Source organism: Homo sapiens, chromosome 12 (assembly GCF_000001405.40).
Source record: "Homo sapiens chromosome 12, GRCh38.p14 Primary Assembly".
Taxonomy (NCBI): Eukaryota; Metazoa; Chordata; class Mammalia; order Primates; family Hominidae; genus Homo; species Homo sapiens.
In genome coordinates, this window is record NC_000012.12 from 115,463,943 (window position 1) to 115,481,509 (window position 17,567).

At 42.0% G+C, this 17,567-nt stretch overlaps 1 long non-coding RNA gene across 2 annotated transcripts in view, besides 2 other annotated features; it reads right to left on the bottom strand.

The window, feature by feature from the left end:
- The window catches only part of LOC105370003 (uncharacterized), a 389,555-nt gene that overhangs the window by 90,432 nt on the left and 281,556 nt on the right, over positions 1-17,567 (bottom strand). The window lies entirely within an intron of this gene.
- Positions 10,316-11,515: an enhancer, noted in NCBI's record as "MED14-independent group 3 enhancer chr12:115912063-115913262 (GRCh37/hg19 assembly coordinates)". NCBI's record gives its function as "activates an origin of replication core promoter dependent on BRD2, BRD4, P300/CBP and CDK7 cofactors, and independent of MED14, by STARR-seq in HCT116 cells {active_cell/tissue: HCT116}" and the evidence as "EXISTENCE:reporter gene assay evidence [ECO:0000049][PMID:35650434]".
- Positions 17,179-17,258: an enhancer, noted in NCBI's record as "active region_7085". NCBI's record gives its function as "activates an Ori minimal core promoter by ATAC-STARR-seq in GM12878 lymphoblastoid cells {active_cell/tissue: GM12878}" and the evidence as "EXISTENCE:reporter gene assay evidence [ECO:0000049][PMID:35858748]".

Sequence of the window (17,567 nt, forward strand, 5' to 3'; positions counted from 1 at the left end):
CAGTAGGACTCAGGATCCAAAGAGAAGACAATGCATAACAATAACGGCTGTGCTCTCCACATCCTACAAGACACATGTGGTCACTCCCACTTTGCAGGTAAGGATGTGGAGGAGAATCCGAAAGTTTGGGGAACATGCCCAGAGTCAGAGGGCTACAGGAGGCAAACTCTAGTCTCTTCTGATTCCAGAAGCCAGCGTCTTTTCCACTACACCACGTCACCTTGCAAATTATTCCTCGCAGGTAAGAACTAGTCTAAGAATCTCACTACAAAGCAGTTTCTCCAACGTCCTCTGCTTCACACACTTCCGCCTGAAGGAACACACCCACAACTAAGAATTCAGCTAAGCTGGGAAAAGTCCACATGAGGAACATAAATCTCTAGTTTACAGGAACAAGGAAAATCCCCCTTGGGAAGATTCTGGAGACAGCTCAAAAAGACAAAGTCTGGGAATTTAGAAAGAAAGGCTAAAATGTGTTCAACCACAATTTTTATGAGTTGTCACATCCCGAGGGCACCCACATCCATGGAGATTGATGGCGAGGAAGCTTATTATTTGATCGTGTGAAGGTTGCCAAATGCCCAGTGGGGCAGTGAGGGTGGAAAGAAGGACAAGCTTTCCTTCTATGTGGCATCTGCGTACAGGATTTGGCAGCTTTGCCTCTGCTTAGGTTTGCCTGTGAAACCACTTTAATTCAACCCAATAAACATTAACCCAGTGTTGGAGATCTAGAGATCATAAAATAACAATCTCTGAAGAAAACTCACAATTAAGTAGAGGAGGCAGGTCCACAAACAAATAACTGCAGCAATCTGCTCCATGATCGGGATGTTACTGCCAAAGAAAAGTTGGTTGGGAGGGGAAGCGTTCCATTGTCAAATACGAAATGCTGTTCTCTTCACTGCGGGACTTCTCAGGGCCTTTACTCTGCAAGTGTCTCTTTGTAAACTTCCCTGACTTGGCAGCATACAGTTAGCAGCACTCGCCAACTATATTTGACCCTGAAAGCTCTTTTTACCTAAGGAACGTCTTAGAGAACTAGTGTGTTCCCCTCTCCACTAGAGAAATTTAGACGAAAGGAGACTAGAACTAGATAGAATTGGGGTTCATGAAGTGGACTATTGGAGGTGACAGAGAGGAGTTTGGGGAAGCTTGGGGATAATTTGCAGAGGCAGCGATAATTTGAACTGTCATGAAGATGAAGAAGAATTGATCAAACAGGTAGTAGAGGGAGGTGGGAGAGAGTGGAAAGGGCTTTTGAGAAAGAAGCAATAGCGTAAGTCAAGAGAGTCATGGATCACGTGGCATATTCAGAAAACAGTGGAAAACTGGGGGCAGGTCTATGCTTCCAGAGCATAGTATGATCCATCCTTCACGCATCACCTTCTCTTGCTACCTACCCATGCTTGCTTTGGTGTAGTAGAAGAAATGCAGCCCTTGCTCAAGCTTCCTGGAGTTCTCATCCACTGAGCCCACATTTTTCCTGTTATTTCTAAGATAATAAAGTATTGTGGTATGCGTTCATGCATGGGTTTGGAGTCAGAAAGTCCTGGATTAAATCCCAACTACTCTCTTTCTATTGTCTGAGTTTGCATAAGCCATTGTCTCTTGTTCTGCCTCAGTTTCCTTGTCTATATGGTGGAGATGAGAAAAAGCACCTACCTCCTATTGTACTAATAAGCAAATGGCCAGAAGCTGTGCACATATAGGGACTGCTCAATGGTGGTAGCTATTAGTATTGATGATTATTAATATTTTTGCGCCATTTGAGAAATGAGTATTCTTTGGGAATATCAGCCCCTTGCATAATATATACCACATAGTAGCATTTATGGGAATGGTCACCCAAGTGCCCCTCATCTTTTGCTTTACAGTTTATAGAGAATGCCTTAAAGGAGTAAGGACCATGGGCTCAAGCCAGACTTACAAGATCTGTGACCTTGAACAAGTTACATGACCTCATAAGCCTTCATTTTCTTATCTGTAAATTGGGGATTAAATGACACCAACCTCGTCGAGTTGTTGTGAAGTATAATTGGGTTAATTATGCATAACATTTCAGCAGAGCGACAGGCACAAACTAAAGTGCTGTGTGCTGTTTGCTATTATGATTTCATAGTTTCTTCCTCTGCAGATATTCCCTGGGACCCAAACCTGAAGCCCCTGGGCTGCCCTTCCTCAGCGGGGCTGACTGGAGCAGTTACTGATGGCACCAGCTTAAAGAGGAAATGGAGAGTGTGTTTGCGTGTTTTCTGCCATGAAATAGGCATCCTGAGACAATCTCTTCATAACTGATGTAGCCCAGCCCTCTGTACTGAAATTGCTGGACTCACACGAGGCCCAGATGTGGTTTAAAGAGCATGTGGGGGAAATTTCCGTAGGAGCAACACAGATCTCTCTATTCAGAGTTTTTCTTGTGGGCAGCTTGCATTTACTCATTCTTTCATTCCAGAAGTATTTATTTAGCCCCTGCTATGTGCCAGGCATTGTGATAATAGTTGGAATGCAGAGGTGAATTAAAGAGTATGGGCTTGTCTATATAAATAAATAAATATATATGTATATGTGTGTGTATAACACCTATTATATATATTATGTATTAGGTGTGTGTTGTATATATATGTTTATATATGTGTGTGTTTATGTATAAGTATATATGTGATAAGAGTTTATAATCCTATATAGAGACAGATGTATTAAAATGGATTTTTTTTTTTTTGAGACAGAGTCTTACTCTGTCATCAAAGCTGGAGTGCAGTGGTGCAATCTAGGCTCACAGTGACCTACACCTCCCATGTTCAAACGATTCTCCTGCCTCAGCCTCCCAAGTAGCAGGGATTACAGGCACACGCCACCACATCCAGGTAAATTTTTTTATTTTTAGTAGACTTGGGGTTTTGCCATATTGGCCAGGCTGGTCTCTAACTCCTGACCTCAAGTGATCCACCCACCTCAGCCTCCCAAAGTGCTGGGATTATAGGCATGAACCACCGCCCCCTGCTAAAATGGCTTTTATTCTGGTGGATAAATAAAGAAAACAGACCAGGACTTCTGCAAAATAATTTTTTTGCTACGGGCAAAGAAAATATAAATTTCTTTTTACTATAATACAATTTAGCAAACATTAACTGAGCATCTACTGTGTGCATAGCCCCATGCTGGGTTCTCTGAGGATACATTCATGAATAAGAGGCTACCCTCAGAAAGCTCATACTCTGGTATGATTATGAGCCAAAGATATTCATTTCTTACAGTGTCCATCACTAGCTAGTGGAGGGAGCAGTATGGCCTAGTGGGTGGTGAGTGCCTACAGCCTGCTCTCAGGTCATCTGAGTCTAAGTCACGTGCATCAGGCACCTCCTAGCTGTGACCTTAGGCAAGTGATCTAACTGGGCCTCAGTTTCTTCATCTGTCAAATTGTGCATAAAAATAGTGCCTACTGGGCGGATCACGAGGTCAGGAGTTTGAGACCAGCCTGACCAAAATGGTGAAACCCCATCTCTACTAAAAATACAAAAAGTAGCCAGGTGTGGTGGTGGGTGCCTGTAATCCCAGCTACTCAGGAGGCTGAGGCAGAAAAATTGCTTGAACCTGGGAGGCGGAGGTTGCAGTGAGCTGAGATTGTGCCACTGCATTTCAGCCTGGGTGACAGAGCAAGATTCTGTCTCAAAAAAAAAAAAAAAAAAGATAATAATAATAATAATGCCTACCTTTTGGGGTAATTGTACAAATTCAATGAAGTTCTGTACGTCAGGGGCTGAGCAAGGAGTATGGCATGCATTAAACACTCACAACTTAGTGAGTAACAGAGGAGTAGAAGAGTATTATTTTAAAAGCACTTTTATTGAATTAGTAAGTGCTGGATTCAATGAAGAAGACTTGGTGAGGTTTTTAAAAAAATTTTTGTTTTAATTTTTCCAATGAGGGTTTTTGAGTTTTTTTGTTTTTTTTTTTTTGTTTTTTGATAGTCAGAATTGACCTTCCTGCATTCTACTGCATTTTTCTGTTGCAGAAACTGCTTATTTTTAAAGGCCCTGAACTTAGCTTCTCTTTGCCTTTAGACAAGTCTCACCTGAGGGCTCTATATAGACCAAAGGACCTATTTAGAGTGACCAACTGTCCCCGGGTGCCAGAGCCTGAAGGGTTTTCTAGGACATAGGACTCTCAGTGCTAAAACCAGGACAGTCCTGGGCAAACCAGAGTGGCTAGTACCCCTCCTGGGTACATAACAAGAAGGTGCACATGTACAGTCTCTCTGGGTGTCCGCAAGTGTGGGCCTCAGAAAATGAAAGTGACACCCGGACAACACACAGCTGTGTCTGGCACCCGAAGGACAAGGTCCACAGGACAGAGCCCTAGCAGCCTGAGACCTGCATGCATCTACCCCACCTAAGGCTGCCTCTGCCACAGCACAGCCTGCTGGTGACTCAGCAGCCTTCTAGGTCCTGAGCCGCAGCTTCCAATCACTGAGAGCAGCTCTTGCTCCTGATACTAGTTATCAGTGACTCTTATTAGGTATACTAGTTATACTAGGTATGAGTGACTCTTGAGTCACTCAGAGAGGATTCGGAATGGAGGTAGGATGGAAGAATTAGCAACTGCATGCGAGGTGCAACATGAGAGCCATGGCTTTGTTCTTAGGGTTGGTTCTGGATTCAAATTTAGCTCTGCTACTCTCTAGTGACATGACTTTGGACAAGCTACCTACCTCTTCTGAGCCTCATTTTCCTATTTGGAGAACTACATAACACATGTCACCTACTTAGCGTAGGGAAGGGTACACAGACAGGACTTCATAAATGGCACTCATCAATGACAATTGTTGCTACTATTGTACTGGCATGATCACACATAGTATTGACATGATCATAAAAACACATTATTGTGACTAGCATCGACAGGATTATAAATAGTATTGACATTATCGCAAATTGGGAACATGGCTATTCCTCCCTCCTCATCCTTTAAGCCATTTAAAATAGCTGCAAAATCCAGACCAACACTTCAAACAGAAACACAAACACAAAAATTTAGAAGTGGTGGTGAGTCTCTTTACAAGTTCAAACAAACAAACAAAAAAAAGATGTTCAAGTAGGATACATTAAAAACACGTAGATTCGATTTTTAAAATCTCTACTTTTTTTTCCAGCTTTGGAAGAGACAATTCTTCCAAATTCTCATGGTCTAAATCAATCTCTCCCAAAGTATGTTTAGGTAAAAATATGTATTATTTTATGAAATAATAAAATAAAATAAAATAAAGGAGGTAGTCCAGGAATTAAATGGGTTTGGGGAATATTGAACTAAATTAAATGTAATGAGTTTCTTTACTGCAAGACTTCTCAAAGCTTTTACTACACGGATCAATTTCCTGACTCTCCGAGAGGGGAAGCATGTGATGCCGTCCCCCTATTGACTTGGTAATGCCACCCTTTGTTCATGGAACATGGACTAGGGTTGGGTGGAATGGAGTTGAAAAGTTCTAATTCAGATGTTTCTGCCGAAGTTCTAGATTCTTCCTCATCTCAGTCCACACCCCATCGCATGGCTTCCTAGGGAATTCCTACTTTATTCCTGGTCTCTGAATCCTTCCACTTGGCCACTCAAGAGCTCTGACTCATTCCTGAGCTTGGCCTTTACTCCTAAGTGGGTCTGAATTCTACCCACTGACCTCCCAAGGAATAGGACACTAGAATCTGAGCAAACATGGAAACTTTTCTCTGTATCTCATCCCTCCTTTCTGGGAAACTGGGTGTTGTTGTTGTTGTTTGATCTACCAATATGTTTCATTTCTCCTCAGAGAGCATTGCTATTCGATGAAGATGATGGACATGTTGATGCTCCTCATGATGATAAAATAAGAAATAGCTTATCTTTACAGAGCAGATACTATGTGCCTGGCACTGTCCCTCATCCCTGTGCAGTGGATACTATTATAAATGAGGAAACTGAGGTTACAGGAAGGTCTGTGGCTTTCCCATGATTACCCACCTAGTAAGTTGTAGAACCTGTCTCTACATGAATGATCTCATTCGAGACCACCAGAAAATTGACTTAATTCAGAACTCATTTTTTTAAACTACATGATGCTGATTTTTCTCAAAAACATAAGTAAAGATCCTAAATGAACTCTAACAGGCAGACCCTCATCAAAATGATCACATCAAGTAGGTTTGGGAAATATCGAACTAAATTAAATTTAATGAGTTTCTTTACGACAGAACTTCTCAAAGCTCAAACGAGGGCCCTGTAAACCCTCAGCTTCCTTTAAACACTAACTTAGGATACCTCAAAATATAAGATGAGCACCCCAAGCCCCATACAATATGGCGACCAATGACGTGAGCCTTGAATAACCATCTTCCACCATCTGTTTCAGCTTGGCAGGGGAAACAAAGGCATACAGCCCCAGGTTACATGCTGATGTGACTCACAGATGTGTTGGCTTTACCCTATCTCTGCCATTGGCATTCTTTTATTCCATCAGCATCTCAGGGTTTTGTTTTGGGTTTTTTTCTTCTAAATAATGGGGTAATGAAGCAACCCTATCCTATGCCAAAAGATGCTTTCCTGACCTGGGGTACTCACAAGTCCAACCCTTCAAGTTATTAATTACAAGCCCAGAATCACCTCCGCCCAGTCCCCCACCCCAGCCAGCAGAGATAAGGTGCTGTCCTACTTCCTCCAGCAAACTGTCTCCTTGTCACGTCGTTGGCGCCACCGAGGTGACTGGCGCCCGCCACACCTTCCTGCCCACCCCGTGAGGTGGCAGCTTATCATCTGAGAGTGAAGTGATGCGTGTGTCCACACACAGGCTGGTTGCAGACAGTATTTGCAGGCTTGTAAAAGGTGCTATATAAATCAATTATTAATACTAATCAGAACATGATGGCCCCACTAGCAGGAGAGGGGAGGCCCAGACGTGGGGGCCACACCCTCCTTGACACAGTCAGTCAGGAGCCAGGTATCTCACGAGTTATAAAGAGATGTGAGGAGAGATGACCCAAGAGTGATAAGAATTAACCTCTTCTCCACGGGTCCCACCTGGCCCTTCAAAAGCCTCTGCCTGACAGCACTGCCTAAGTTAAAGAAAGTTCTGGAACTTTAGAATGACAGGACTTTGAGAGCAAGGCCTTGGTGCCAGTACTTAGTCCTACGCTCTCTGTTGGATTCAGTCAGGGCTGTAGTTTATCCTCATTGGACTCTAGAGGGTGCCTACCAAGACATATTTCTCACAACCAGGTTGTCACTTCTTGACATTGGGTGGCGCCATTCACGGACCATGGATCTGGGTTTATTTTCTTAAGCCACTTTCTGTTTCCCCCTTGGGATCCACCTTGTGAGCTTGGAGCCAAAGAAACCATTTCTTCATGTAATAGATGTGATGAATTGATTTCAGGTTTATTCTCAGATGTTCCAAGATCCTGGTCTAGTTTGGTTACCCTCCTAAGAGCATTCAAATTATCTTCATGGGTGGTACGAAAGTCACACAGACAAACAAAAACCAAAATAAGTATCACCCATCACCAGAAAGTAATAAGTATCATGTATCCCATGACCCTTGGAATCTGCTACTGTCAAGGTGGCATATCCAAAGTGGACAATCTTAGTTGATTCATTAGTGATTGACAGTTAGTTGACAATTAGTGATTAACACTAAATCCTAAAGGTTGGATATCCCTGTCCTAAAAAAATTGATAATAAAAATGAATATTTGTTCAGCATGAATATCCTAAGAATCTAAAGTACCAAGAAAGGTGGCATAAAACGGAGGAAGGATCCTGGAGGAAATGAAATGGAAGAGACCCAGAGAGTCATCGCACAGAAAAAGCCTGGGATAGATGAGCAATGATGGATCTAGATAGCAGACACCACTCCAGGGAGATACCAGCCTCAACTCGCTTTTATTCTGGGGTGGACAGTAAAGTCAGTGTAGGCAGAATAATGCCCAACCCCCACCCCAAAGACTTCCACATCCTAATCCCTGGAATCCCCAGAATTTGGGAATATGTGACCTTACATAGCAAAAGAGACTCGTAGATGTGATTAAGCTAAGGACCCTGAGATGAGGGGATTATGCTGGATTACCCAGGAGGGTCCAATGTCATCACAAGGGTCTTCATAAGAAAGAAACAGGAGAGGCAGAGACAGAGGAGATGTGAAGGCAAGCAGAGATCAGGGCAATGCAACTACTGGCTTTGAAGAACAGAAGGGGGCCGTGAGCCGAGGCCTGTGAGCAGCCTCTAGGAGAAAAAAAGAAAAAAGCAAGGAAACTGATTCTCGTCTAAAGTGTCCAGAAGAGATGCAGCCCTGCCAAGACCTTGATTTTAGAACTTATTATCTCCGGAATTGTAAAAAAAATTGTAAATATGCATTGTTTCAGGCCACTGCATTTGTGGTAATTCTGTTGCAGCAGCAGTACTAAATTAATATAATGGGTAAGTTTGGGCTGTTCTCCAATCTCAGCCCTCTTAGGCACCCTGAAGAGCTGTGGTCAGTTGCAGGGTGTGACACATAACTTATTTCTAATCATTATTCAATCACTAAAGTTTGGGAATTATTTACTTAAAAGTTTAGGCCAGGCGCAGTGGCTCACGCCTGTAATCCCAGCACTTGGGGAGACTGATGCAGGAGGATTGCTTTAGTCCAGGCATTCAAGACCAGCCTGGGCAACAAGACAAAACCGCATCTCTACAAAAAATAGAAAAAATTAGCCAGACATGGTGGCACATGCTTGTAATCCCAGCTACTCGGGAGGCTGAGAGAGAAGGATTGCTTGAGTCCCAGAAGGGGAGGTTGCAGTGAGTTGAGAGTGCACCACTACATTCCAGCCTGGGTGACAGGGTGAGACCTTGTCTCAAAAAAAAAAAAAAAAAAAAAAGATTTAGAATAGGTTTCTGCATTTATTCATTCATTCAATAAATATTTATTGAACACCTCCTATGTGCCAGGTCTCTTCCTGGTGCTGGGATGAAGAGGTAATTGAGCCAGGTAAATAGCTGCCCCCATGAAAGTGACAATCTAATGGAATGACTCTATGGTGAAGAGGTGAACAGTTGAATGACTCACGTCATTGCAGATAATGATGAGGGCCATGAGGATGCTGGAGAGTGGACCAGAAACTGACCCTAACCCCACCCATGCCCACAACAGGGCACGTTCTGCAGGTCAACATCTCTGCTTAGGAAGCATTGCGGGAGATTCTATGCCAAGGAACATTTGAACCCTGCTGATGATGTTAGGGAAGACACTGTAGGTGATAGCAGAGTCTTAAGGGGGTTGAAGAAACGTGGGGTCAAGCCACTTAAGGGGTGCCCAGGCTACTTCCTATGGGCATCTCACAGGTCTCCTCAACCCAGTGACTTCGGGGCTATACAATAGCACTACCTGGGTGGCTTTTTAGTTGTTATTTTAATTATACAGTGGAAAGACAGTTTGGACATATAAACAAACACTTCTCAAATTCCAGCTGGCACATAGATCCCCTGGAACCTTGTCAAAATGAGACTGGTTCAGCAGGTCTGAGGTGGGGCCTGAGATTCAGTATTTCTTGCCAGCTCCCAGGGAATGTCCAAGCTGCCAGGCCACGGACCACACGCTCTGGATTAGCAAGGGGGTGGACAACCAAATTAGCCAAATTCCACCAACAGCCCCCAAATGGGTAAATCGCCAAGTGCAAAGGGTTAATAGTTATCTTCTTGTAACACCCCAGTAGTTTTCTGCACATGGGCTGCAGGGTACACTTATACTCTGACACTTACTAATTGTGGCATCTGGGGTAAGTTACTTCATGACCCTGTGCCTCAGTTTTTCCATCCATAAAATGGGATCATGATGGTATCTACTTCAGAGAGTTGTTATGAGGATTCAATGAGTAAATACAGGAAAAGTACTGCATGTCGTCAGTGTTCAATGTGTGGTAGCTATCCGAACTAACGTTTCTTCCCCTCTTTAGACCATAGCTTCATAAGGACAAATTTTGCACCTGATATTTTAAATGTGCTCTATGCTGAGCCTGGATTCTGGCACTTAGTAAGTGCTTTATATGTCTGTCACATCAATCAATGGCTTAATGAATGAAAGGATACAAGCAAACCAAATAAATTTAGTTTGTTTTGTTTTGTTTTGTTTTGAGGCAAAGTCTTTCTCTGTCACCCAGGCTGGAGTGCAGTGGTGTGATCTCGGCTCACTGCAACCTCCGCCTTCTGGGTTCAAACGATTCTCCTGCCTCAGCCTCCTGAGTAGCTGGGATTATAGGCGTGCACCACCACACCTGGCTAATTTTTGCATTTTTAGTAGAGATGGGGTTTTGCCATCTTGGCCAGGCTGGTCTCGAACTCCTGACCTCTAGTGATCCGCTTGCCTTGGCCTTCCAAACTGCTGGGATTATAGGCATAAGCCACCGTGCCCAGCCTCCAAATGAGTTTATTTTCAAAGGCACCGTCAAAGGAAGAAAAGGGGAAAGGGGGTAAAGGGAGAAATTCACATTTATTGATTAGCTATCCTGTGCCCAGCATGGCACCAGTTGCTTTTCATACACCATTATAGTTCATGCAGTCAAGAGGCCTAAGACAGAAGAAAGAGAGATCCTGCAGGTTGAGGCTTAAAGAGGCAAAAACACTTGCTCAGGATCTCGTGGCTGTTAAGTGACGAAGGTAGGGTTCAAAGCCATGCCTGCCCAAGCTGGTTTTCCTCACCAACCCTGTGACACAAAACCTTCTCTGACCCCCGGTATTTCCCATTAAGAGAATTAGTCACCGTTGGCTTTGATCGGCTGGGCTGGGCTGGCAATGTAGTCCTTAATGGCATTTCTCTCAGGCCCTTATCTTTATTAACTGTGAATTTATCTTCCTCCAGAGATAGGGCTCTGGGTGAAGGGCCCCCTGCCCACACCTAGGCAAGTCTTACCTGCTCTGAACGGACCAGCAGGTGACTGTGAGTCCTTTAATTGCCTTCTTCCTCACCTAACCCCTTCCCTTAAGTTCAAACCTGCACTGTAAACATGATCTCCAGGACCAAAGGTAAGGGAGGTGAAGCTTGTGGATATTAACCCATAAAAACCCTTGATAAGCCCAGCGCATTTCATAGCACCATAAATTAATTCTTGTCCTTCATAGCCTGTGAGGAGAGCAGAAGATGAAGAGCAAACTGAGGAGTCACGCAAGGCCAATGATTGCACAATTGGCGCCGAGAGATGCTATCTGAGTCGGAACAGAAGAGGCTGACCCCAGAGTGTCCCCTTCTAGCAGGTGAAGGGTTTGGGCCAGATCATCCTGTATGGATTGTGACATTGTATGAATTCGAAAACGAAAGAAAGCGCTCTGTGAAGGGGCATGAAAGGGCTTGTCCAGCCAGCATTTCATGGCCTGAGACAGTTCCTCTTAGAGTCCATGAGATATAAACAGGTGACTTTTTGTCAAGGCAGAGATTTCCCCCCAATTAGATTGAAACCCCCCTCCTCAGGGTGAGCCTAGAATTAGTGCAGTTTTGATAACTCAAAGAGTGATTGAACTCATTTCAGCCATGTCCTCAAAGTTCTGACCCCAGAGGCCACCTAAGTTCGCCATTTTCTGCAAGTCTTATGGTTCTAAAAAGTTATCTCTTATAATGCTTGAAAAGAAGGTTTAAGAATTTTCCAGTGTATGATGGTTCCGAACAAGCAGAGTCATTTCTCAAGAATTGTTTTTGCAAGGTTGTTTACGACTGGCTTTCTCACTTGTTTGCTTCCTTCTAACACAATTTTCTGAATACCGGCCATGTGCCAGATATTATATTATCAGCCACGGTATACCAGATATACATTTATGGCTTCCTGAAATTCCTGACCTAGTGGAGAATAAAGATTAATCTACCAGAAACTATAATACACTGTGACAAGTTACATGATTAGAGAGAAAATACAGTTGGGATTTTAAACGAACCACCACATGGGCTTGCTTTTGCTACACAGCAAATATCTCTCAAATTCTTCATTCATTTGGAGTCAGCAAATATTTGGAGAATACGAAATCACTTCATTAGTAGCTGAATGCAACCTACAAGGTAATCCATATAACACACTCCAAGGCCAATCATCAAATTCATTTGAATATTCCACTTCTTGGGGTTTCGTGCTCATCAATTCCCTACATGTATAGATGGTATGAGATAGCCCATACTTCAAATGTTTCAAAAATATTATTTGAGTTGTCAAACATTATAAAATTAAAAACTCACTTAGGCAATGTAGAAAAGAAGATGAGTCAATATCTTTAAGAGTGTGACTTTGAGAAATTGGCTTAGGACAGAGATAAGGTAAAATTCAAAAACTCATTTTTGACCTGAAAAATATGTTGCCCTCCCTAAGACTTACCAAAAACAAAAAGAAAAAAAAACAAACATATCGAACTCAGATCCACAACCTGATTTTCAAAATCAGTCTACACAAATATTCATGTTTAAAGATGTCCTTCACGGTGTTATTTATAATACAAGAAACTTGAAAGACCCTACAAGTTCATTAGTAGGAGAATGGTTAGCTAGCAATTAAGTAGCAAATAAAAACATTTAGAAAGCTTTTACTGACATGTAAAAGAAAGATTTCTGATGCTAGGATGAAAGGCAGAATACAAAATAAAATATTAAATAGTTTTAAATAAGTTTTAAGGATCGAGAATAAAGAAAGACACCAAAATGTTAACAAAAGTTGCCTCTGGGCAATGGAAATGATATTAAACAAATGAGATTTGGTGCTTGAGACCTTTGGATCAAATCCTGGCTTCACCACCTTTTACTTGGATTTCTTTTTCTTTTTCTTTTATCCTAAAACATTAGTATTTTATTTTTATTTTTTTATTTCCATAGGTTTTGGGGGAACAGGTGGTGTTTGTTTACATGAGTTACTTCTTTAGTGGTGATTAGTGAAATTTTGGTGCACCCATCACCCGAGCAGTATACACTGAACCCAATTTCTAGCCTTTTATCCCTCACCCCCTTCCCATTCTTTCCCCCTGAGTCTCCAAAGTCCATTGGGTCATCCTTATGCCTTTGCGTCCTCATAGCTTAGCTCCCACCTATGAGTGAGAACGTACGATGTTTGGTTTTCCATTCCTGAGTTACTTCACTTAGAATAATAGTCTCCAATCCCATCTAGGTTGCTGCAAATGCCATTAATTCATGCGTTTTTATGGCCAAGTAGTATTCCATTGTGTGTGTATGTGTATATATATACACATATATATATACACATACACACACATATATACACATATATATATACATACACACACATACCACAATTTCTTTATATGTATATATATGTGTATATATGTATATGTGTATATATGTGTATGTATATACACACTACATATGTGTATATATGTGTATGTATATACACATACACACACATGCCACAATTTCTTTATCTACTTGTTGATTGATGGGCATTTCTGTTGGTGCCACATTTTTGCAGTTGCGAATTGTGCTGCTATAAAAATGTGTATGTAAGTATCTTTGGATTAATATTCTCTCTCAACTTCTTTTTCATCTTCTAAAAAATGGGCTCATAACAATACCTGCCTCATAGTGCTGCTGTAAGAATTAAAAGAAATAATGCAAGTATGGGAGCATAAATTAGTTCAGCCATTGTGGAACACAGTGTGGCGATTTCTTAAAGAACTTAAAATAGAATTACCATTCAACCCAGCAATCCCATTACTGGGTATATACCCAAAGGAATATAAATCATTCTACTATAAAGACACATGCATGTGTATGTTCATTGCAACAGTGTTCATAATAGCAAAGACATAGAGTCAACCTAAATGCTCATCAACAGTAGACTGGATAAAGAAAATGTGGTATATATACACCACGGAATACTATGCAGCCATAAAAAAGAATGAGATCATGTCCTTTACATAGAACATGGATGGAGCTAGAGGCCATTATCCTAAGCAAACTAACACAAGAACAGGAAATGAAATACTTCATTTTCTCACTTATAAGTGGAAGCTAAACAATTAAAACACCTGTAATCCCAGCACTTTGGGGGGCCAAGGCAGGCAGATCACGAGGTCAGGAGATCGAGACCATCCTGGCTAACACAGTGAAATCCCATCTCCACTAAAAATACAAAAAAATTAGCCAGGCTGGTGGTGGGCGCATGTAGTTCCAGCTAATCGGGAGGCTGAGGCAGGAGAATGGCATGAACCCAGGAGGCGGAGCTTGCAGTGAGCCGAGATTGAGCCACTGCACTCCAGCCCGGGCCACAGAGAGAGACTCTGTCTCAAAAAAAAAAAAAGTGGACACAAAGAGGGGAAAAACAGACACTGAGGCCTACTTGAGGATGGAGGATGGCAGGAGGGAGAGGATAAGAATAAATATCTGTCGGGTACCATGTTTATTACCTGGGTGATGAAATAATCTGTACACCAAACCCTTGTGACACACAGTTTACCTATATAACAAACCTGCACGTGTACCTCTGAACCTAAAATAAACGTTTAAAAAATAATATATACTAAATGATTAATAATGGAAACTATTATATGTGAGCATATGTAATACAATATTATGGGTATATACTTTAATAAGCTTTCCACAAGTTAAATATACTATACATGGCATCAGAAACAGATTGATCTTAAACTTTTTAAATTTTACAATTAGAAATAGAATTTCAGATGTCAAACTGCCATCAAATAGGCTTAGTTCCATTGTTCCAGTGCTTTAGCAATGAACCAGGCTTGGCAGGGGTTGTGGTGATTCAAAACTCTGAGCAAGGTTTAAATGCTGATAGGGATCATTTCTTACCTTTATAGAGAAACGTTCATAAATCATGAGAGAGGGTTTGAATCTCTGTGTATTTGTCCTATGAGTATAAAGTAAGGTTGTTTTCTTGTAAGCAGAGAAGGAGATTTTTACTGTTCATATAAAGTGAATTTATGGAAGCCGGGCACAGTAGCTTGTCCTACCTGTAATCCTAACTACTTGGGAAGCCAGAGCAGGAGGATCCCTTGAGGTCAGGAGTTCAAGACCAGCCTGAGCAACATAGCCAGACCCTGTCTCTAAAAAAGAAGAAAAAATGAATTTTAAAGAAAAAATAGGAAAAGGGGGGAAAAAACAAAAAAAAAAAGTGAGTTTATGACTAGCTGGAAAACACAAAGAACTAGCATTTAGAGTATAAATTCCTAAAGGGCTAGAACTTTCCATGAAGAGATACCATTTTTCTTGCTCAAATTTTAGAAAACAAATGGGGAGAAAAATGATTGCCTATTAGAAGTTTAGTAAACAGAGACAGAACTTCCAGAAGTAACATCCACATGTTCTTTCCCTGACTCCCAGAATCCAGAGACCCATGAATAACCAACCATACTGAAAATGGAGGCAAAATGATGAGCTCGTATGAGAAATCTCATTGCCTTCCATCACATTCTCAAAGCAACCTCTGACTCCCAGATAGTTGGGAAACTCTGTCTTATATCTTCAAAGTTGGATGAAAGGAGATATTTCAAATGATGGATCACAAGACACACAAGGAAATATGTAGTTTCATAGACTTCTCTAGGCTGGCCTAGCTCACTACTCTGTGCCTGGCACATAGTAGGCACGAAATGAATGAATGAATGAAGAAATGAGATACAAAGATTACCCACACAAAACGATGGATGTGCCAGGTATCCAGATTTTATGTTAAATCTCAGTTACCCACAAAATCCACTTTCTTTAAACACCCAGTCTCCTGAACATACCAATTAATATTATAATGTTTGAAGTGTTCTTTTCACGGAAGCTGCAGAGATGGAAGTTCTGACAATCTATCCAATGTCAGAGGCAAAGAAGGACCAACAGGTTGGAATCGTGCAGAGTAAATATTTAAACATGGGTAGTTCAATAGCTGTTAAATAGGTTCAGTAACAGGCTCATTTTTAAACGTCAATACTCTTACTAATGGTAATGCACTAGCCTTCAATAGAAGGGAGGCAACTGAGTTGAAGTCATTTTTAATCAGAAGTCAACAGGAACTAGTGTCTCAGACAAGCCCCCACCACCCATCCACTAAATTGGTAAAAACAAAACAACAAATGAAATACAGTTTTCTATTTCCCAGAAGCCAAGCCTTCATGGATTGCTGAAGTTGATGAGGTCCACGGATTTTACCTGGGCAGGGTGAGGATAAGGAATGACTGGGGAAAGACAAGTAAGGCAAGGGAATAGGGAATCTGAGTTTTCTCTCGGATTGTTTTTGTTAAGGGGAACTGTTAAAAACTTTCATTTTGCTCGGGCGCGGTGGCTCACTCCTGTAATCCCAGCACCTTGGGAGGCCAAGGCGGGCGGATCACGGTCAGGAGATCGAGACCATCCTGGCTAACACGGTGAAACCCAGTCTCTACTAAAAATACAAAAAAAAAAAAAAAAAATTAGCTGGGCGTGGTGGCAGGTGCCTGTAGTCCCAGCTACTCGGGAGGCTGAGGCAGGAGAATGGTGTGAACCCAGGAGGCAGAGTTTGCAGTGAGCCGAGATCACGCCACTGAACTCCAGCCTGGGCGACAGAGCAAGACTCCATCTCAAGAAAAAAAAAAAAAACAAAAAAAAACTTTCAAGTTCAGGGGTATATGTGCAGGTTTGTTCTACAGCTAAACTCGTGTCATGAGGGTTTATTGTACAGACTATTTTGCCACCCAGGTATTAAGCCTAGTACCCATTAGTTATATTTCCTGATCTTCTCCCTCCTCCCACACTCCAGTCTCTGGTAGGCCACAGTTTGTTGTTCCCCTCCTTGTGACCATGTATTCTCATCATTTAGCTCCCACTTACAAGTGAGAATATGCAGTATTTGCTTTTCCGTTTCTGCGTTAGTTTGCTAGGGATAATGGCCTCCAGCTCCATCCATGTTCCTACAAAGGACATGATCTTTTTCTTTTTTACGGCTACGTAGTATTCCATGGTGTGTATGTACCACATTTTCTTTATTCACTCTACCACTGATGGGCATTTAGGTTGATTCCATGTCTTTGCTATTGTGAATAGTGCTGCAATGAACGTATGTATGCATGTGTCTTTATGGTAGAATAATTTATATTCCTTAGGGTATATACCCAGTAATGGGATTGCTGGGTCGAATGGTAGTTCTGTTTTTTAGGTCTTTTAGGAATCGCCACGCTATTTTTCATAGTGGTTGAACTAATTTACACTCCCATCCACTCTCTCAGATTATTTAAACAAGCAAAGACTTGGCTTTTTAACCTGGCTGCAGGTAGTAGCTGTGAAGCCTTGAGTAAGGAAGTTAACCACCTGAGCGTGGTGAATGCCATGTGCCCTCCCAGCCCCCAGCTCCCTGAGTCTTATGTTTCTATTTCACTTTCCTATTTCAGTGCAAGTAGTCAGACTTACAGCTGTCAGCACCTGGACTCTTCAGCCTGAGGTTTTTTTCTGCCTGTGCACAGGCCATGGAAGAAGTGGCCTGAATCAGTGCTTCCACCCAGTGGCCCTCAATCATTGACGGACAGGAACTGGCCTCTTCTCTGCAGTGCCTGCTCTGCACTGACTCTCAGTGTTCCTGGGGAGGATTGAGCCCCTGTTTCCTG